The sequence below is a fragment of the Homo sapiens genome, chromosome 14 (genome assembly GCF_000001405.40).
Source record: "Homo sapiens chromosome 14, GRCh38.p14 Primary Assembly".
Taxonomy (NCBI): Eukaryota; Metazoa; Chordata; class Mammalia; order Primates; family Hominidae; genus Homo; species Homo sapiens.
Genome location: NC_000014.9, coordinates 39,570,497 through 39,594,259, shown reverse-complemented (window position 1 = coordinate 39,594,259; position 23,763 = coordinate 39,570,497). Strand labels below are relative to the sequence as shown.

At 36.9% G+C, this 23,763-nt stretch overlaps 1 long non-coding RNA gene across 13 annotated transcripts in view, besides 1 other annotated feature; it reads right to left on the bottom strand.

The window, feature by feature from the left end:
* Positions 1-23,763, bottom strand: part of LOC105370461 (uncharacterized) — a 433,650-nt gene that overhangs the window by 271,739 nt on the left and 138,148 nt on the right. Inside the window, exons 3-4 of one of the 13 annotated variants that reach the window (XR_007064124.1) lie at positions 16,032-16,143; positions 11,104-15,419 (exon numbers count right to left, since the gene is read on the bottom strand). The exons of the other annotated variants lie outside the window; for them this stretch is intronic. This is a non-coding gene — a long non-coding RNA (uncharacterized LOC105370461). Of the gene's footprint in view, positions 1-11,103; positions 15,420-16,031; positions 16,144-23,763 lie in introns of those variants that run through there. 13 annotated transcript variants of the gene reach the window in all.
* Positions 4,287-4,876: an enhancer, noted in NCBI's record as "NANOG-H3K27ac-H3K4me1 hESC enhancer chr14:40058588-40059177 (GRCh37/hg19 assembly coordinates)". NCBI's record gives its function as "activates a minimal SCP1, AML or CMV promoter by ChIP-STARR-seq in primed H9 embryonic stem cells {active_cell/tissue: H9 hESC(primed)}" and the evidence as "EXISTENCE:reporter gene assay evidence [ECO:0000049][PMID:30033119]".

Genomic DNA, 23,763 nt, shown 5'->3' with positions numbered 1-23,763 from the left:
TAGAGACACAACAAAAAAAGAAAGTTTCAGGCCAATATCCCTGATGAACATAGATGTGAAAATCCTCAATAAAATACTGGCAAACCAAATCCAGCAGCACATCAACAGCTTATCCACCTAGATTTGAGATTTTAATCTGCTTTCGACTGCCTGATTATCCACTGCCACAGGCACCAGCTCTATTTGACTCAACAAGCATTTCAAACTTCTCCGTATGCCAGGAATTTTGCTAGGTATTGAGTATAAAAACACAAATAAAACAAGGTGTATTTTTATGTGCTTGTAACATTGGAATGCTTGAAAAATGGAAGTTACATTACAGGTACATGTTTACAAAGTAATGTAAAAGAAGACTTTGTAACAAGGTGCAGGATAGCTGCAGAGGGGTTATTAGGAAAAACCCCTGAGAAATATGGCACATCCTTTCCAGCCCATAGTGTCTGAACAGAGGAACCAGGTCACCAACTTGAGCTCATCACCATTCTTTATGATCCAGGCAACTCTCTCCTGTGCCCTGCTCTGAACATAACATAACAACATTGTCCCTGCCCTAAAGGCTAACAATTCAGGCAGGTGAGACAGCTTGTTCTGACACACTCCTAAATAAGCTTCAAATGTACAAGAGAAAAGCCAGATCAAATCTAAGGAAACAGTGTCAGAAACACAGTAAATCTATGATGACTAACTGACCTAACTTATGACCTATAAAAATCATTTTTCTTCCAAGACAACTAATGTAGTCATAGCCACCACTGTGCCAAACATACAGCTTGATAAATCAATTTAGCCTAAACCAGTACATGGTCCAAACATAATATGGCTTTAAATAACTTTGAAAAATATTTCTAGCGTCTCGAGAGAATTTGCATATTTTTAGATGAGATTTGCATTGCATCTTAAAAATACTTCATTAATTCAACAAATAACTACTGAGTTCTTGGTACATGTACAACACTGTGGAAGGTATTAGCAGGCATAAATAAAAAAGCTCTGCCCCTGAGGCATTTACTACGAAAAACAAAATTTACAGAGTTAGAATCTAATATTTATTACTTGCTCCTGATTGCATGTATTTAGCCTAATTACATAATTAGATGCAATCATGCTGAAAACAAAAGAGAGACTGAATTTTATTTTAAGAAAGCTCTCTTGAGACACAAGATGAGAAAAAAATCAGTAAGTAAGCCAAATGCCAGGAACCAAAAATTCAATCTAAACTATCAATACCAAAAAAGACCACAAAAGGCCAACCGTAAAAGCTTGTGTCTGAGGGTAAAATGAAGAGGTCATCATAGACTATATAGAAAGAAACTGTAGTGTGTGAAGTACTGTGAAACTTTATGTATGGAAAAAAACCTGAAAGATCATCTAATACAAGTCCATGATTTTATGAATTTAAATAATTAATATACTGGACACTTTGTTAATTAGTTTCTAAGGAGACTCTGATCCCTGTCACACAACTAAGCATTTGCTTTCTCCACCATATATGCCAAAAAATTCACATTTTAAAAGCCTTAACATATTACACCTTCTCTTTACAGTGTCTGAACTCCCTTAATTCTAAATACAGAGAACATAACAAAAGACATACTCAAATTACCAATGTGCTGGCCAGTGAGATGCCACATCATTGCCATAGTGGGAAGGGTCATGGTGCAAAGCTCAGCCCTCTGGCTGATTCAGTGCAACCCTTCCCTCCCATCCAGTTTCCTACACCCTATTCTAGAAGGTAGAAATAGTATAACCCTTGGCATGTCTCACACACTGAAGTCATTTTCTCAGGCACTTGAACTGGGCCCTGTAACAGTGCCAACCATCCCTAGCAAATCTGGGAGTAGGGCCTGGATGCTACAACTCAATGCTCTCTGCTTCCTGCTTCTGCAACATCTTCAAAGCCCTCCAGCCCCGCACCTGTTCTGCTGTCTCTGTGTTAGTGAGCTTTTCCATAAGGCAGAATCCTTTCTGTTTCTTTACTTTTAGCTGCCTGGGAAACGTCCTTCTCCAATTACCATGAGTTGTTGGAACAGACAGCATCCTGCTGCTGCCTTGAGACACTGGAATGGTTCTTTTGTTACAGACAGCACTGATTCTTAAAATGAAGATTTCTGCCTTCTTTAGCCTCTCCTCATATTTCAGCCTCCTCTCCCTGCCTCACCCAGCCCCCGAATAATACATCCCATCAGCCTAAATCCTTGTCCTTGGAAAAATCAGGCTATTCCTCTCACTATTTGCATCCGCCTCCTCACTCAGCCTGTTTAACCTCAGTCTCGTGTTTCTCTTCAATTTTTATCAAATAGTTATTCACACTTGGCATTACAGAGGATAGGTAAAAAGCAAAATAAATAAAAATATTCTCCACACTCTTACATGGTTATTAACACTTTTAGTGAAGTTTGACCACATCCAAAACCCTCATTCCCACCCACCAAAAGGCACAATAATATCATAGGTGTTTTATATATTAGTAGGAACATTTTAATATTATAATTTCATAACACTCCCAAAGTGTTGCAAAATAACAAGGGAGAACCACTGTTTTAGAACTTTGGTTAAAGGCAGATAATGGCATGTATTACTACTAATGTTTATTACATACATAAATTATACTATGTAAGAAATTTGAACCAGTGAATTCCAAGTCTGACTTCTAGTTGCCTATTCTCCAATGTTGACCTTATGATGCTTGATAAACTAGATACATTTTCCAGCCTGAGACTAGATTACAAGAAAAGCATCAATCCAAAATATTATCGTACTGGGGCTATTACATCACGTGGTCCCTGATCCAGAGGCCCAATTCAAACTATGCATTGAGAAAAAGATTCTCTGGCTCTGAGAGCCTGGAATTATCCTGTGGAGGTCATCTCTTCCATCCTGCTCTCCTCTGCCAACTCTAAATGGGAAAACCAAACCTCCCCTCAAAGACTGGCAATGCAAATGCCAAAGGTACAGACTCTGTGCCCACACGACTTGGGTTGTAGTCTCAACTCTGCCCCTTCCTAACTGTGGTACATCAGGCCACTTAGGAGGCCAGCTGTAGGACTCTCCATTTCTTCATGTTCTCATCCTCAAAACAGGAATAATAATAGTACCCACCTAAATTGTTGTAAAAAATATATACATTGTTATATATAAATCATTAAAGTATTTAGTAAATTGTAAATGTTCAGTTAATTTCTTGGAAACATAAATATTGTGGTAGGAAGTGATTTTGGGAAATATTCTCACATGTTAGTGGTTTCCTCACCTCACAAACATTCAGAACTTGGTAGTGACTTCACCTCCAGTAGTTCCGAACTGCTACAAAAATACTAAGAGTATGGATTATTGTTGAGGAAGTTTTTTACAAGTGAGACTGTATCATAGACAACAATGTACACATGTATGAACCTACATGATCATTTCATTTCTACAGGCTAAGATAATAGCAGACAGAATATTAGCTAAAATTGTAAAGGAGTTGGGAGGCTATGATAGTAACCAAAAATGTATCATACATAGTTCTATGAAGCACTAGTCAAGGCTAGAGAAGCAGAGCAGAGAAGGCTGGACACCACAGGACCCACTCTGGCTGGAGAGTCTGACAGCTGGGATCCGTAATCTAAACTTATGACTATTTATTTCCATGTCATAAATTTACCTTTTAACATGAATAAAAGCTGTAAGCAAGCCATGCCAAAATGCAACAAGGGTAAAGTTCACTTTCTACCTTGGTATTTCATGAGAAGTACCTCCACCGTCCACTCAAAAAGTCAGTGGAGAGCAGGTTAACTCAAAAATCCCATCTTAGCCTCCATTGTTTTCATGTCTAGGTCCACAGATGAAAAGTGAGAACATTAAAACTGGTGGTTCAACTTTGCTAGCCTGGTTGGTAAAAGGGTAAGGATAGTCAGAGAGTTACTATTAAAGGAAAGTTAGCAAGCCTCTAAAATTCAAATCCAATACAAACTTTAAAACAATTTTTAGGAGGAGCCAAGATGGCCGAATAGGAACAGCTCCGGTATACAGCTCCCAGCGTGAGCAAGGCAGAAGACGGGTGATTTCTGCATTTCCATCTGAGGTACCGGGTTCATCTCACTAGGGAGTGCCAGACAGTGGGAGCAGGTCAGTGGGTGTGCGCATCGTGCACCAGCCAAAGCAGGGCGAGGCATTGCCTCGATCGGGAAGCGCAAGGGGTCAGGGAGTTCCCTTTCCTAGTCAAAGAAAGGGGTGACAGACAGCACCTGGAAGATCCGGTCACTCCCACCCGAATACTGCGCTTTTCTGACGGGCTTAAAAAACGGCGCATCAGGAGATCCTGTCCCGCACCTGGCTCGGAGGGTCCTACGCCCACGGAGTCTCCCTGATTGCTAGCACAGCAGTCTGAGATCAAACTGCAAGGCGGCAGCGAGGCTGGGGGAGGGGCGCCCGCCATTGCCCAGGCTTGCTTAGGTAAACAAAGCAGCCAGGAAGCTCCAACTGGGTGGAGCCCACCACAGCTCAAGGAGGCCTGCCTGCCTCTGTAGGCTCCACCTCTGGGGGCAGGGCACAGACAAACAAAAAGACAGCAGTAACCTCTGCAGACTTAAGGGTCCCTGTCTGACAGCTTTGAAGAGAGCAGTGGTTCTCCCACCATGCAGCTGGAGATCTGAGAACGGGCAGACTGCCTCCTCAAGTGGGTCCCTGACCCCTGACCCCGAGCAGCCTAACTGGGAGGCACCCCCTAGCAGGGGCAGACTGACACCTCACATGGCCGGGTACTCCAACAGACCTGCAGCTGAGGGTCCTGTCTGTTAGAAGGAAAACTAACAACCAGAAAGGACATCCCCACCAAAAACCCATCTGTACATCACCAGCATCAAAGACCAAAAGTAGATAAAACCACAAAGATGGGGAAAAAACAGAGCAGAAAAACTGGAACTCTAAAAAGCAGAGCGCCTCTCCTCCTCCAAAGGAACGCAGTTCCTCACCAGCAACGGAACAAAGCTGGACAGAGAATGACTTTGACGAGCTGAGAGAAGAAGGCTTCAGACAAATTACTCCAAGCTACGGGAGGACACTCAAACCAAAGGCAAAGAAGTTGAAAACTTTGAAAAAAATTTAGAAGAATGTATAACTAGAATAACCAATACAGAGAAGTGCTTAAAGGAGCTGATGGAGCTGAAAGCCAAGGCTCGAGAACTACGTGAAGAATGCAGAAGCCTCAGGAGCCGATGCGATCAACTGGAAGAAAGGGTATCAGCGATGGAAGATGAAATGAATGAAATGAAGCGAGAAGGGAAGTTTAGAGAAAAAAGAATAAAAAGAAACAAGTAAAGCCTCCAAGAAATATGGGACTATGTGAAAAGACCAAATCTACGTCTGATTAGTGTACCTGAAAGTGACGGGGAGAATGGAACCAAGTTGGAAAACACTCTGCAGGATATTATCCAGGAGAACTTCCCCATTCTAGCAAGGCAGGACAACATTCAGATTCAGGAAATACAGAGAACGCCACAAAGATACTCCTCGAGAAGAGCAACTCCAAGACACATAATTGTCAGATTCACCAAAATTGAAATGAAGGAAAAAACGTTAAGGGCAGCCAGAGAGAAAGGTCGGGTTACCCTCAAAGGGAAGCCTGTCAGACTAACAGCGGATGTCTGGGCAGAAACTCTACAAGCCAGAAGAGAGTGCGGGCCAATATTCAACATTCTTAAAGAAAAGAATTTTCAACCCAGAATTTCATATCCAGCCAAACTAAGCTTCAGAAGTGAAGGAGAAATAAAATACTTTACAGACAAGCAAATGCTGAGAGATTTTGTCACCACCAGGCCTGCCCTAAAAGAGCTCCCGAAGGAAGCGCTAAACATGGAAAGGAACAACCGGTACCAGCCGCTGCAAAATCATGCCAAAATGTAAAGACCATCGAGACTAGGAAGAAACTGTATCAACTAACGAGCAAAATAACCAGCTAACATCATAATGACAGGATCAAATTCACACATAACAATACTAACTTTAAATGTAAATGGACTAAATGCTCCAATTAAAAGACACAGACTGGCAAATTGGATAAAGAGTCAAGACCCATCAGTGTGCTGTATTCAGGAAACCCATCTCACGTGCAGAGACATACATAAGCTCAAAATAAAGGGATGGAGGAAGATCTACCAAGCAAATGGAAAACCAAAAAAGGCAGGGGTTGCAATCCTAGTCTCTGATAAAACAGACTTTAAACCAACAAAGATCAAAAGAGACAAAGAAGGCCATTACATAATGGTAAAGCGATCAATTCAACAAGAAGAACTAACTATCCTAAATATATATGCACCCAATACAGGAGCACCCAGATTCATAAAACAAGTCCTGAGTGACCTACAAAGAGACTTAGACTCCCACACATTAATAATGGGAGACTTTAACACCCCACTGTCAACATTAGACAGATCAACGAGACAGAAAGTTAACAAGGATACCCAGGAATTGAACTCAGCTCTGCACCAAGCAGACCTAATAGACATCTACAGAACTCTCCACCCCAAATCAACAGAATATACATATTTTTCAGCACCACACCACACCTATTCCAAAATTGACCACATATCTGGAAGTAAAGCTCTCCTCAGCAAACGTAAAATAACAGAAATTATAACAAACTATCTCTCAGACCACAGTGCAATCAAACTAGAACTCAGGATTAAGAATCTCACTCAAAACTACTCAACTACATGGAAACTGAACAACCTGCTTCTGAATGACTACTGGGTACATAATGAAATGAAGGCAGAAATAAAGATGTTCTTTGAAACCAACAAGAACAAAGACACAACATACCAGAATCTCTGGGACGCATTCAAAGCAGTATGTAGAAGGAAATTTATAGCACTAAATGCCCACAAGACAAAGCAGGAAAGATCCAAAATTGACACCCTAACATCACAATTAAAAGAACTAGAAAAGCAAGAGCAAACACATTCAAAAGCTAGCAGAAGGCAAGAAATAACTAAAATCAGAGCAGAACTGAAGGAAATAGAGACACAAAAAACCCTTCAAAAAAATTAATGAATCCAGGAGCCAGGAGCTGCTTCTTTGAAAGGATCAACAAAATTGATAGACCGCTAGCAAGACTAATAAAGAAAAAAAGAGAGAAGAATCAAATAGATGCAATAAAAAATGATAAAGGGGATATCACCACCGATCCCACCGAAATACAAACTACCATCAGAAAATACTACAAACACCTCTATGCAAATAAACTAGAAAATCTAGAAGAAATGGATAAATTCTTCAACACATACACTCTCCCAAGACTAAACCAGGAAGAAGTTGAATCTCTGAATAGACCAATAACAGGAGCTGAAATTGTGGCAATAATCAATAGCTTACCAACCAAAAAGAGTCCAGGACCAAATGGATTCACAGCCGAATTCTACCAGAGGTACAAGGAGGAACTGGTACCATTCCTTCTGAAACTATTCCAATCAATAGAAAAAGAGGGAATCCTCCCTAACTCATTTTATGAGGCCAGCATCATCCTGATACCAAAGCCGGGCAGAGACACAACCAAAAGAGAGAATTTTAGACCAATATCCTTGATGAACATTGATGCAAAAATCCTCAATAAAATACTGGCAAACAGAATCCAGCAGCATATCAAAAAGCTTATCCACCATGATCAAGTGGGCTTCATCCCTGGGATGCAAGGCTGGTTCAATATACGCAAATCAATAAATGTAATCCAGCATATAAACAGAACCAAAGACAAAAACCACACGATTATTTCAATAGATGCAGAAAAGGCCTTTGACAAAATTCAACAACCCTTCATGCTAAAAACTCTCAATAAATTAGGTATTGATGGGACGTATTTCAAAATAATAAGAGCTATCTATGACAAACCCACAGCCAATATCATACTGAATGGACAAAAACTGGAAGCATTCCCTTTGAAAACTGGCACAAGACAGGGATGCCCTCTCTCACCACTCCTATTCAACATAGTGTTGGAAGTTCTGGCCAGGGCAATTAGGCAGGAGAATGAAATAAAGGGTATTCAATTAGGAAAAGAGGAAGTCAAATTGTCCCTGTTTGCAGATGACATGATTGTAAATCTATAAAACCCCATTGTCTCAGCCCAAAATCTCCTTAAGTTGATAAGCAACTTCATCAAAGTCTCAGTATACAAAATCAATGTACAAAAATCACAAGCATTCTTATACACCAACAACAGACAAACAGAGAGCCAAATCATGAGTGAACTCCCATTCACAATTGCTTCAAAGAGAATAAAATACCTAGGAATCCAACTTACAAGGGATGTGAAGGACCTCTTCAAGGAGAACTACAAACCACTGCTCAAGGAAATAAAAGAGGATACAAACAAATGGAAGAACATTCCATGCTCACGGGTAGAAAGAATCAATATCGTGAAAATGGCCATACTGCCCAAGGTAATTTATAGATTCAATGCCATCCCCATCAAGCTACCAATGACTTTCTTCACAGAATTGGAAAAAACTACTTTAAAGTTCATATGGAACCAAAAAAGAGCCCGCATCGCCAAGTCAATCCTAAACCAAAAGAACAAAGATGGAGGCATCACGCTACCTGACTTCAAACTATACTACAAGGCTACAGTGACCAAAACAGCATGGTACTGGTACCAAAACAGAGATATAGATCAATGGAACAGAAGAGAGCCCTCAGAAATAACGCCGCATATCTACAATTATCTGATCTTTGACAAACCTGAGAAAAACAAGCAATGGGGAAAGGATTCCCTATTTAATAAATAGTGCTGGGAAAACTGGCTAGCCATATGTAGAAAGCTGAAACTGGATCCCTTCCTTACACCTTATACAAAAATCAATTCAAGATGGATTAAAGACTTAAACATTAGACCTAAAACCATAAAAACCCTAGAAGAAAACCTAGGCATTACCATTCAGGACATAGGCATGGGCAAAGACTGCATGTCTAAAACACGAAAAGCAATGGCAACAAAAGCCAAAATTGACAAATGGGATCTAATTAAACTAAAGAGCTTCTGCACAGCAAAGGAAACTACCATCAGAGTGAACAGGCAACCTACAAAATGGGAGAAAATTTTTGCAACCTACTCATCTGACAAAGGGCTAATATCCAGAATCTACAATGAACTCAAACAAATTTACAAGAAAAAAACAACCCCATCAAAAAGTGGGCAAAGGACATGAACAGACACTTCTCAAAAGAAGACATTTATGTAGCCAAAAAACATGAAAAAATGCTCACCATCACTGGCCATCAGAGAAATGCAAATCAAAACCACAATGAGATACCATCTCACACCAGTTAGAATGGCAATCATTAAAAAGTCAGGAAACAACAGGTGCTGGAGAGGATGTGGAGAAATAGGAACACTTTTACACTGTTGGTGGGACTGTAAACTAGTTCAACCATTGTGGAAGTCAGTGTGGCGATTCCTCAGGGATCTAGAACTAGAAATACCATTTGACCCAGCCATCCCATTACTGGGGATATACCCAAAGGACTATAAATCACGCTGCTATAAAGACACATGTACATGTATGTTTATTGCGGCACTATTCACAATAGCAAAGACTTGGAACAAACCCAAATGTCCAACAATGATAGACTGGATTAAGAAAATGTGGCACATATACACCATGGAATACTATGCAGCCATAAAAAATGATGAGTTCATGTCCTTTGTAGGGACATGGATGAAATTGGAAAACATCATTCTCAGTAAACTATTGCAAGAACAAAAAACCAAACACAGCATATTCTCACTCATAAGTGGGAACTGAACAATGAGAACACATGGACACAGGAAGGGGAACATCACACTCTGGGGACTGTTGTGGCTTGAGGTGAGGGGGGAGGGATAGCATTGGGAGATATACCTAATGCTAGATGACGAGTTAGTGGGTGCAGTGCACCAGTATGGCGCATGTATACATATGTAACTAACCTGCACATTGTGCACATGTACCCTAAAACTTAAAGTATAATAATAAATAAATAAATAAATAAATAAATAACAATTTTTAAAGATTGCAAGTAAATAACTACTGTTACAAATAGTAAGTTCGTTATTTAAATACTGCTTCTAACTATGAAGACCACAAATTCTATCTTTTTATAATCCCAGAATCAACAAAACACCTTTTACTTACTAGGCCATTGAGAAACATTTGCTATTAGTGGTTACAATGATATATATATCAATAATTTATGGTACACCTTACACATATATTGGTGTTTAAATTTATCAAGTGTAATCTTCACAACAATCCCAAAAAATATAGGTAGCATTATTCTCGCTTTTATAAGAAATTTTCACTAATGAGAAGTTGAATTTCCTAACCAAGATGACGTGAATTAAAAGTGAAGTCCAAGTTTCAAACCACATCTATACTGAAGATGCAATGTGTTCAAAAAATAACATGCTGGGACAGGCTGCAGAAACATGTCTCTGAGCACTAAAGTTCCTACTAGTGAATAAAATACTCTTTTTCTAAATTCCTCTTCAGAACACTTACTTAGTTAAATAATATATAAATCAAACACAGAAAACCATATGCCAATTCACCAGTGATAAAAATTATTTATTCCAGCAATTCTAAATATATTCCTTAGAGCAGTGGTCCCCAACCTTTTTGGCACCAGGAACCATTTTCGTGGAAGACAATTTTTCCATGGACAGTGGGGATGTGGGGCAAAGCTGGAGGGATGATTTCAGGATAAAACTGTTCCACCTCAGATCATCAGGCATTAGAGTTTCATAAGGAGTGTGCAACCTAGATCCCTTGCACGTGCAGTTCACAACAGGGTAGCCCTCCTATGAGAATTGAACGCTGCTGATCTGACAGGAGGCAGAGCTCAGGCAGTAATGCTCCCTTGCTCATCCACTGCTCACCTCCTGCTATACGGCCCAGTTCCTAGCAGGTCACAGACCAGTACTGGTCCCAGGGGTTGGGGACCCCTGCCTTAGTGTTCATAGGCAGTGCTCACACATGGATAACAGAAAACATGTTTGGACAGCCCATCTCCTTCCTCTCCCTGACTCCTGTGTCATTACTTCCATTAATATTTTCAGTAAGCAATCAAGATAACAAAATCCAAAATAGAAGCTAGTTTTTATCATTTATTGTAACAGTTACAACATATACACAGTCACAGGCTTATCTTCAAATGTAAAGATTAATGTCATTAAATTCCTTGAATTGTTTTTCAGTTATAACAGATTTCAAGTAATTTTCACTACTGTCCTATGATTATAAAAATCCTAATTCCCCAGTAAGTGCTTAATATATATTTTCATTTTAGTTCTAAAAGTAATCATCTGTAATACATTTTTATAGAAGCATAGAACATATACTGATGAGGTTTTTGTAAGAGAAATAAGCAATCCTAAGTACGCCTTTCAGTACTTCCTATTGAATAATAGAATTTTATCTATGAAAAGCACATTAGGAACATTTTACCCAAGTTCCTTATTTTATAGATTTAAAAAAAAAAACAGGCTTACTATGTTTAAGAATATAACAGTAAAGTTGTAGTCTTTTGAATTAAAAATGACAATAGAATTAGATTTTATGAAAAAGAAATCTTTAGAAACTCTCATTGTATTATTACTAGTTCTTGCTGAATTTTTTTCCACATTAAAACCAAGGTTGCCTCATTTCATTCTCATGAAATAATGGAGCCCCACTGAAACTGAAAAACTGTCCAAGTTATTCTTCCTACAGAAATGTGTGCATGTGTGTCACATACTTAGCTGTGTACTATGAAGTTTAAAGTTTGTGATAAAAAGGAAGTTGATTTTAGAAATGCACACTGTTGTAGTGCCTTTACAAAGGTACTGCACACCAGCCTGGGTGACAGAGAGAGAGACCCTGTCTTTGAGAAAAGAAAAGAAGAAGAGAAAAGAAATAAAAACACAGAAGTTAGAATCAACAGGATCTGGTAAATGATTAGATAGGAAGATGAGAAATTGAGGTTTGTGCATCCTACACAGCAGCTTGAAGAGGAAACACTGTAATTGAAAGCTAGAGTTGAACTGATCAAGGAGAGAAAATGAAACGGGGGGGGTGAATAGTGTTTTGGAAGTTGATGTGGAACGTGTTTCTCAGGTTCTACATAAAACTGGCTGGTTGTGTTCACATGGTAAAAAAAATCTCTTAGATCATCATCACAGAGAAGATTTGGTGATATGTATTTCAGTATTCACAATAAAGAGAACAAATGATATGACTGGTCATTTAAAAGAAGATCAAGACCAGCTGTTCTTCAAGATGATTAACACTTTATTTTATTAGGAAACTATTCTGAATCAGATGATGTTTATTATAAAAATTATTTTGTCAATTTATAATATTAAATTAATGGTCCTCAGCATACAAAGTATCTTCTTTATAATTATATATGCAAAGTTTATAGGCATAACCTTAATAAACATAACATTCAAAACAGAAGTTCAGCATACGTGAACTTGATTAACCTATTAGAGTTCTCAAATAAAATGAAAAATGTCATTAACTAGGAACAAAACCCAAAAAAAGATTAATGATAATGAAAAAGCAACAGTGACATCTGCTGTCTGTTTGTATAGTTTCCTTAAAACTATTCTCTACGCTTCATCTCTTTTCCTTCAATTTTCATCTATTTTTACCATTGTCATATCTATTATGTAAGAAATGCTTTGATGACTAAGCTCCTTCCATCTACTCCATTGTTTTGTTCCCAGAGAATAATCTGAAGCAGACTATTTTTAATATATGATCTATGTCACAAGTTTTTAAATACACACACCTTTAAATACTCTGATCAGAGGCTTCACCAAAATTTGAATGTATAATAATGGTATCCAGGAACAATTAAGAAGTTAATAGTCTTATTGCTACTGTTCTTTATGTTCTACCAGTAATGTTTTAGAAAACAAAATAACTTGCCCTGTAATCTACATGATAATATATGAAGCACAATGCAGTTAGTTACCGTGACATAACAGCATTTAGATTCCTCCATGGAAGAAGAATAGAAATGAACAATTCTAAGACTGAAAAATCCTTAAACAAATGGGAATAGGCAGTAGCTTACACATCCCTTCTAGAAACAACCCCAGTGTTCCACCTCATGATGTGTGAAATACCACAATCATAGAGTTATGTCCTTGGTAAATGCATTTGTCACATAAAGTTGTCACCTATTTCACAATGTTCATTTTCATCCTAGAAGAATAAGATATTGGGCCATTAACAATCAGTAGTTACTTGGAGGGAGGGAGTTAATCAGAGAGATTTTCTGCTTGACAATCAACTAGTGAGCGTTTTAGTTGGAGGAGAAAGAAGAATGACTTTGTCATTGAGAGACTAGCACACTAGGATAGGCAGAGTTGTGGGGAGAACTGAGTAGTCAGGGTGTAAGGACACTCATTAGTTGATCAAGGGTCAGAAGGGAGGAAAACAACAGAGAAAAGAAAGATAGAATGACACCACAAACAACAAACCTGGACTGCTTTACAATTGTGAAGTTTTCAAAGTGTCCATTAAACAATCTTTACATGGATATTGAGTAAACAGTAGCAAAGAGCTGTGAAACAATGAAAAGTAAAGAACCAAGAAGATGCCTTAAATCTTAAACCAGTGATGCAAGTCCAGAGAAATCACAGGAAAGAATAGGTATCCCAAGTACATTTGTCTTGCTTGGGCAGAGAGCAGCTTATTTTTCTTATTTAGCAAAAGAAAGAAGGGGTGCTACACAGTCTCTAAGGCATGACAAATGACATCCTTCTACACTGACAGCACTCACCACAAAACAGAATCTGTGAAAGCTGATCTCAAGGCTCCATGTAGGAGAAAACAATGCACATATAAAGGTTATTGGTTTGATAAAAGAAAATCCATTTTTTAAATGACAGTATAAAAAATCCTCTATTGGCAAGAAGCACTTTTCATTCTAGGGAAAAGTGAAATTCAAGAGCTCATATGGGAAAAAGAGATCATTTGCTCTGTTTATTCTTGCCTGAACAGACACACTCTAAATTGATCATCAGTGAAGAATAGGATAAACATTCCAGAGCAAATATGCCTATGCTCTTGATCCTGACATTTGAAGAAAATTTATTAAGAACCTTTATATAAAAACAAATCTCCTCAGATAACATATAAAGGTAGTATATACAAGAAATCTAAGGTCACGATAAAAGTACCAAGCCAATGAAGTGATGTTTTTCAATGAAATCATTATTTGATCATCTGCTCAAAATCATTATTTTGAGCAGATGATCAAAATTAGCACCGGAGAGAACATTGGATGTACAAACATGAATAAGCCATGGGCTCCGAACCATAATGTTTTCCGCATAATAGACAAATAGGGCATAAATATAAGCAAAAGAAAAAAATGATTCTTTCCTGTAATTTTCTGGTCCTATTAATACATCATTAGTTAAAGAGTTAAGGAATCTTATTGGTTCCTTTCATTGTTTCACTTTGTCACTATTTACTCAACATCCATGTAAAGATTGTTTTATCGGGGATTTGGGGTACAGGGTAGGCACCAAGTGAGGGGTAGTTAAGTTCTCTATTGGGAAATTGGGAAAGGTTCTATTCAGTAGAGAAACCAGATGCACCTTTGAAAATGAGAAGGCATTCCAAATGTAAACAGGGAAGAGATGCATTTTACACAGAGAAAGAAGTGAGAGGAAGAGCTATGAAACAACATAACATGGTAGGGAAACCTGGTTCCGAAAGTCTGAGCATGGGACATGAAGAAGGGAGAGGTGACAGAGGAAGCCAAGGGCAAACAGGAGTCAGAAGTGAGAAGGGTCAGTGCAGCATGGTTCAATTAAGTTCAACACCAACTTTGTAGGTATTTTTTGTTTTTTTGTTCTGTTTTAAAATATAAGCATATAGAAACCTCCTCAATCATATTTACTCATAAGTAAATGGTTTTAGATTTTACCCCCATTTATTTAGGCAGAGGAAAATAATAAATAATAATAAAAGAATCTTGATAAATCATTCTAAAAATTTCAATAGTAAAGTAAATGAGAACATAAAAATGAGGACATTGTCCTAATATATACTAAGGGTTTCATTTTAAGTGTCTTTCTTGTATACTTAGTCCCTCGGAAGTATTGATATGTAAGCTGTAGCCTCAAAAACAATTGAGAAAATAAACCATTCAAAGACATCAGTTGTCTTCATTAAACATTTTTTTCTGGGCACACAGCTGGAAACTTTCCATTCATTCAGCACTTGCTCATGGGTGAGATGGCTTAATATTTTCCCAAGAGCAAGCATGCCAAGACTTAATGGCTCTGGACAGACATCTGGTAAGGGCTATCAGAACCACCTGGACTGCAGAAAAAGCTTTCGGGTTCCAGCAGGAAATCCTTATGTGTTCTTTTTCCCTGACTGGTATCTGTGACAGGCAGGTGCCTCCTGAAATGAGAATTTAGGTGACGTTTTCAAGGAAAGTCTATACCCAGAGTCATGACAAAGATGAAACAAAGAAGATGAGATATTGGTCTAAGTCAGTGATAGCTATGATGTGAATTATCTCTTAGGTACCATGTGTCTTACAGACCCTTTAATACTACTTAGAATATCAAGCTTTGTAAGAATAAAGGTATTAGTAAATGCTCACGAGATAATAAGGAGACCTGAGCTCATAAGTAGGTCCTGCTACTCTTGTTCTATTAGTGTCTTTTGCTTATATGGGTATACATATATGATACTGTACATTTATACTGCAATTAAAAGGAGAGAAGAAAAATAAATTAGAAAATAACATTAAATTATACATCTAGTCTACTCTGCAATCTTGCCTAGACATACAAAAATTTTCATTAGGACACTAAAAAAAAAATCTCCTATACAACAAGATCCAAGACTCCATCCAGAAGGCTTCTCGATATTCTTTATTTGCTATTCCTATTTCATTCTCTCATACGCAAAGCCATTTCTAACAAACTGCCAGCTGATGCCAGTGCTGCTGGTCCCTGGAACATGCTTTGAGTGGCAAGGTTTTCAAACACAATCAGCATAACTTACCTGTCTCAGGGAAGATTTTCACAATTCCTGTATAGGAAAGATCCATCCAGGAGATTTTCTTTGTTAAGTATGCATCCTCCATCATAATTTCCTCATCAAATTCTCTGCAATACTGAGCAGACCAGTTAAATCTACATTCAATAACAGTAAGAGCCAGTGTTGTTTAATGGCATAATGAGAAATCTAGGGTCAGATAGATATAGGTCCATATCCCATTCCTGCCTACCAAACAGATTGACCATGGGAAAGTACTTAAACTGGTCTAAACCTTAATTTCCTCTTCTATAAAATAGAGATGCCACTAGTAAATACTTCAAAGGTTTATTTTGAGGATTACATAAAATAACTTATAAAATAACCTATATAGCACTGTCTGGTGAGCACTCAACAAATGCTAGTTATTGATATTAATGCAATGCTGCAGCTTAATTATGCATCCAATGTGTCATATAGCATTTGAGGCTTGAAACTCACAGGTTGACTAGTACAGTAGAATATTTTGCTGTCACAACCAACGGTTGTGCACATTCTCTAGGTCTGTTAATCCATTTTTTTTACAAATACTGAGTGAAGACCAACACTCCCAATCTCTACATGTATATTTTAGCAGAGGAGGTATTTATCATTTTTTTGGTGGGGGGGCGGGGTGCAACACCTACCACCTGAAACTCTCCATTAGTCAGGCTTATACTTGCAAACAATAGTATTGAACTGAGATATTTTTAGCAGAAAAGGCTTTGTAGAAGGTTATTAGCTAGCCCACAGAATCCCTAAAAGGCCCAAAGAACAAAACTTGAAGGCAAATAGATAGGGTCAATAAGCTAAGAAATAAACAGTGAGAAAAAAAAAGCATAGCACATTGTGGGGCTGCTCTAAGAAACTCCATTGCCAACCTTACTCACCATTTTGTACACTTGATTCTGAATGCCAGAATTTGTCCACAGTCACTCTGGAAAAAGTCATATTCACATAGAGAATATATGAAAGTGGTTAGGGTAGGGGGTGAAGGGGGATGAAGAGAGGTAAATTAATGTGTACAAAATTACAGTTAGATTGAAGAAATAAGATGTAATGACTTCTAATACCAAAATGGTGGCAGAGAAGCAAGCTGGTTTCATTCCACACCCACACCCACCCCATAACACATACACAGAGAAAGCCAAAAGCAAATATAGAGCGCCAAGATTTTCACCAGCAATATCCCAGAACTCAAATATGAGGATGAGTCAGTTCCCAACACCACAGAAACATGAAAAAAAAAATCCAAGCAATCACTAAGAGACTCAGGTTTCAATATCTGCAACACCCTTTCCTCCAATCTGCCTGACACCAAGCATGTGGAAAATTTTCCCTGATTCATGGTTTCTACACTAGAAACATTCCCCCTGATTCACAGTTTCTACACTGGAAAAGGGTGAACAACTAGCTTCCCCTCATGTTGGATTCCCTGAAGGTGACTTGTCCCTGCTTCAGCCCACAGAAAGCATCAGAAGTGCCTGAAGGGGGAAATACCCCTGAGAATGGCCATACACAAAGGTGGGAGATGGGACTATCATCCCAGCCCTGGAAACACTGCTCTGTAACTTGACCTAGAAGATGCCAAATCAGAGTGGCTGTTCAGCAGTGCCACACTGTTTGTCCCACAGGTCCCTCAGACTTGAACCCCTAGCCCACCTTCCACACTGCCAGAATATCATCTATGGGACCTCAGCCATTTGGGATGGGCAGCAATACAGTTGTTTGTTAGAGCCAAGGCCAAGCTGGTATTAAGGTGCCATCTAGTGCTAAAAAGAAAGCAGTGACCCAGCAGACAAAATAATTTAAAAATTCAACAGGTAAATTGCAAAATATCTCTAAGCAAACATAACTAATAAAAACAAAACAAGCCAGATAGAGAAGACTGGAATAGATAGCTAATCCTTCAATGCAAAGACTTAAATATACACCCATAAGGAACAACAGCAAACAGGGAACCATGACTTCCCCAACCAGACAAAGCAAGGAACCAGTGACTGATTCTAACAAGATATCAATATGTGAGCTCTCTGACCAAGAATTCAAAACAGCAGTTTTAAGGAGACTCAGTGATAACCAAGATAACACATAAAAGCAATTCAGAAATTTAATAGAAAAATTTAACGAAGAGATTAAAATGATTAAAATTTAACAGGTTAAAATTATTAAAAACAGAACAGAAATCTTGGGACTGACAAATATACTTGCTGAGATAAAAAATTCATTGGTCTCTCAACACTAGTATAGACCATGCAGAGGACAAAATCAGTGAGCTCAAAGACAGGCTATTTGAAATTACACAGTCAGAGGAGAAAAAAGAATGAAAAGGAATGAAGATCACCTACAATATACAGAAAATTACCTCAAAAGACAATATCTAAGAATTATTGATGTTCAAGAGGTAGTTGACCAAGAACAAAGAAAAGAAAGCTTATTAAAATAAATAATAATGGAAAACTCTCCACAATTTAAGTAGGATATAGATATCCAGGTACAGGAAGGTCTGAGAACACCAAACAGATTCAAACCAAATAGGACTATCCCAAGGCAGGGTGTAATAATCAAACTCTCAAAGGTCAAGGATAAAGAGAGGATCCCCAAAGCAGCACAAGATAAAAAGTGAATGACATATAAAGGAGCTCCAATTGATCTAGCAAAAGACTTCTCAACAGAAACCATACAGGCCAGGAGGGAGTGGGCCAACATTTCCTGAGTGCTCTAAGAAAACAATTGCCATCCAAGAATACTATATCTAGCAAACCTAACCTTCAAATATGAAGAAGAGATAAAGTCTTTCCCAGACAAAGAAAAGTTGAGAGAATTCGCCACCACCAACCCATCTTACGGGAATGGCTAAAAGATGTTCTTCAATCTGAAAGAAAAAAACACTAATGTGCATGAATAAAACAATTAAAGGTATAAAACCCATTGGCAAAATTAAGCACAAAGACAATGCCAGAATACTCCAATACAGCAATTGTGTGCAATCCGCTCATGTCTAGTATAAAGCCCAAAAGACAAATATATCAAAAACAATAATACTACAACAACCTTTTAAGAGATAGGCAATATAAAAATGTAAATTGAGACAACCAAAAGTCAAAATGGTGGTGGAGGAGGAACAGAATTAAAGTATAAAGGTTTTTTGTTTGTTTGCTTCTATTCTATGTGTGTGTGATCTAAGTTGTCATCCCTTTAAAATAACTGGTTAACCTATAAAATTTTTTTGTAAGCCTCAAGATAAGGACAATGAAAAAAACCTATAATAGACATACAAAAATAAAAGCAACAAATTAAAACACACTACCATAGAAAGTCACATAATCACAAAGAAAGACAATAAGGAGGAGAGGAGTTGCTAAACAACCACAAAACAAGCTATAAAAATAGCAGTAGTAAGTCCTTATTTACCAATACTAACAGTGAAAGTAAATGGCCTCAGTACTCCAATTTAAAGACATGGAAAAGCTGAACGGATAAAGAATCAAGACATAACTAATGCTGCCTGCAGAAAAACTACCTCACCTATAAAGACAGACATAAACTAAAAGTGAAATGTTGGGAATGATATTTCATGCAAGTAAAAAACAGAAGTAGCTATACATGTATCAGAAAAAATACAGTATAAGTGAAAAACTATAAAAAAAGACAAACTACACAAAGAGACAAAGGTTACTATATAGTGAGAAAAGGGTTAATATAACAAGAGAATATAACAATTATAAATATCTGTACACCCAACACTGGAGCACCCAAGTATATAAAGTAAACAGCAGTAGAGCTAAAAGAGGAGATCGACAGCAATACAGCAATAATAGGGGCTTCAGTACCCCACTCTCAGTAATGAAAAGATGATCAGGATAGAAAATCAACAAAGGAACAGTGGAGTTAAACTGCACACTAACCTAATAGGCCTAACTAATATTTTCTGAACATTTTACCCAACTGCTACAATTCAATACACATTATTTTCATCAGCACATGGGACAATTTCCAGAATAAACCAGATCTTAGGTCACAAAACAAATCTAAACAAACAGAGAAATTTTAAAAATTCAGAAAACAAAAATCACATCAAGTATCTCTTCTGGCCACAATGGAATAAAACTAAAAATCAATTAAAAGAGGAATCTCAGAAACTACACATTCTCAAAAGCTACACAAATAAAGGAAATTTTAATACATGCTTCTGAATGGCCAATAGGCCAGTAAAAAAGATAAGAAATAAATTTTAAAATTTCTTGAAACAAATGAAAATAAAAATACAACATACCAAATCCATAGATTACAGCAAAAGCAGTATCTAAGAGGGAAGTTTATTGCAATAAATACCTACATCAAAAAAGTAGAAAAACTTCAAATAATCTAAGGATGCACCCAAGGAACTAGAAAAGCAATAGCAAACTGAACTCAAAATTAGTAGAAAAAAATAAAAAATAAAGATCAAAGCAGAAATAAATGAAACTGATACTAAAAAAATACAGAAGATGAATGAAATGCAAGGTTGGTTTTTAAAAGATTAAACAAAATTGACAAACTGTTAGCTAGACTAAGAAAAAAGAAAACTCAAATAAATAAAATCAGAAATGAAAAAGAAGACATAACAATTGAGAATACAAAAAAAACCCACAAAGAATCATTAAAGCCTATTATGAACAACTATATGCCAAAAAATTGGAAAACCTAGAAGAAATAGATAAATTCCTGGACACATACAACCTACCAAGATTGAACCATGAGGAAGTAGAAAACCTCAACAAACCATTAACAAGTAATGCCATAATAAAAAAATCTCCCCTCAAAGAAAAGCTAAGCCCAGCAGCTTCAATGCTGAAATCTATCAAATATTTAAAGAAGAATGAATATCAATTATATTCAAACTCTTCAAAAAAATGAAGAGAAGGAAACACTTTCACACTCATTCTACAAGGCCAGCATTATCCTGATACCAAAACAAGACAAGGATACAATTAAATAAAGAAAACTACAGGCCAATACCACTGATCAGCATAGATGCCAAAATTTTCAACAAAATACTGCAAGCCAAATTCAACAATATATTAAAAACATCATTGACCATAATGAAGTAAGATTCATCCCAGAGATGCAAGGATGGCACTACATACACAAATGATAGGTCACATTAACAGAATCAAGAACAAAAACCATATGGCCATTTGAATAGATGCCAAAAAAGCATTCAATGAAATTTAACATCCTTTTATAATTTTTTAAAAACTGGGTATAGAATGAACATACCTCAAAATAATAAAGGTCATATATGACAAACCCACAGCCAACATCATACTGAACAGGAAAAAAATGTCTTAGAGGAAAGACTTCAAAAAACATCTAAGAACAAGACAAGAGCGCCCACTTTACCATTTTTATTCAGCATAATACTGAAGTCCTCACGAGAGTAATTAGTCAAGGGAAAAAAAATGAAGAACATTCAAATTGGAAAGGAGGAAGTTATATTAGCCTTGCATGCAGACAACATCATCTTATATTTAGCAAAACCTAAAGACTTCACTAAACAAACAAACAAAAACCATGTTAGAGCTGATAAATGAATTCAGTAAGGTTGCAGGACACAAAATCAACAAAGATCCTTGGATTGTATACTTCAACAGCAAACAATCTGAAAAAAAAATTAAGAAAGCCATCCCATTTAGAATAGTTACAAAGAGCTTTAAATACCTAGGAATCAATTGAGCAAAGATGTGAATGATTATACAAAGAAAATTATAAAACTATGATGAAAAAAATTAAAGAGGACAAAAAAATGGAAAGATAGTCCATGCTCATGGATTAAAAGAATCGATATTATTAAAATGACCATTCTACCCAAAGAAATTGACAGATTCAATGCAATCCTTATCAAAACCCCAATGTCATTCTTCAAAGAAACAAACAAACAAAAAAAACTAAAATGTATATGGAACCAAAAAGAGAGCCAAAGAAACCCTGAGGGAAAAAAATGAAGCTAGAGGCATCACACTACCTGTCTTCAAAATATACTACAAAGCTATGATAACCAAATCAACATGGTACTGTCTTAAAAATACATAGACCAATGGAACAAAATAGAGTACTCAGATATAAATCCATGCATTTACAGCCAATTCACTTTCAACAAAGGCTCCCAGAACATACAGTGGGGCAAGGACAGCCTCTTTAATAAATGCTTCTGGGAAAACTGGATATCCATATAGAGAATAAACCTAGTCACTTATCTCTCACTATATACAAAAATAAAATCAAAATGGATTGAAGACTTAAATCTAAGACTTGAAAATACGAAAACATTAGAAAATGTTGGGGAAATGCTGCAGGACATTGGCCTGAGCAAAGATTTTTCTTGTGTAAAACTTCAAAAGCACAGGCAACAAAAGCAAAGAAGACAAATAGGATTACATCAAGCTAAAAGGCTTCTGCACCACAAAGGAAACAATCGTAAAGTAAGGAGACAACCCACAGAATAAGAAAAAATATTAGCAAACTATTCATCTGACAAGGAATTAATAACCAGAAAATATAAGGAGCTGAAACAACTCAATTGCAAAAAAGAAATCCAATTAAAAATTGGGTGAAAGAGCTGAATAAATATTTATAAGAAGACATTCAAATGGCCAAAAAGTATTTTTTTAAAAGTTCAATATCACTAATCATCAGAGAAAAGCAAATCAAAACCACAGTGAGATATCATTTGACCCCAGTTAGAGTGGCTTTTATTAAAAAAAACAGGCAATAATGGATACTGGCAAGGATGTGGAGAAAAGGAAACCCTTGTACATGCTGAGGAATGCAAAGTACAGCGACTATAGAAATCAGTATGGAGGTTCCTCAAAAAATTGAAAACAGAACTATCACGTGATCTAGTAATTCCACTACTGGGTATATAGCCAAAAGAAATGAAACAATATATCAATAAAATATCTGCACTCCCATGTTTATTGTAGCATTAATCCACAATAGGCAAAATATGGAATCAACCTAAGTACCTATCAATGGATGAATAAAGAAAATGTGGTTTTATATATATACAATGGAATGTCATTCAGCCATTAAAAATAATAAAATCCTGTCATTTGCAGCAACATGGATGGAAGTAGAGGTTATTATGTTAAGTGAAATAAGCCAAACACAGAAAGACAAATATTGCACATTGTCATTCATATATGGGAGCTAAAAATTGGATCACATGAAGATAGAGTGGATTAGTGGTTATCAGAGGCCAGGAAGGGTCAGTGAGGAAGGGATGAATAGAGGTTAATTGACAGGTACAAATATGCCATTAGAAACAAGAAATAAGACCTGGTGTTTGATGTATCAGTAGCGTGATGCTACAAACATTAATCTATTGTGCATTTCAAAATAGCTAGAAGAGAATAATTTGCATGTTTCTAGCATAAAGAACAGATAAATATATAAGGTGATGAATATTCCAATTACCCTGACTTAGTTATATGAATGTATCAAATTATCACAAGTAGCCTGAAAATATGGACATCTATTATTTATCAATTTTTAAAAAAAGACCTAGTGTTCAATAAATCAGTAGGTTGACTAGAGTAAACAATAATGTGGTGTATATTTCAAAATAGCTGGAAGAGAATAATTTGAACATTCCCAGCATAAAGAAAAGGTAAATGTTTAAAGTAATAAATACACCAATTACCTTGATTTGATCGTTACATATTAATGTATCAAAATA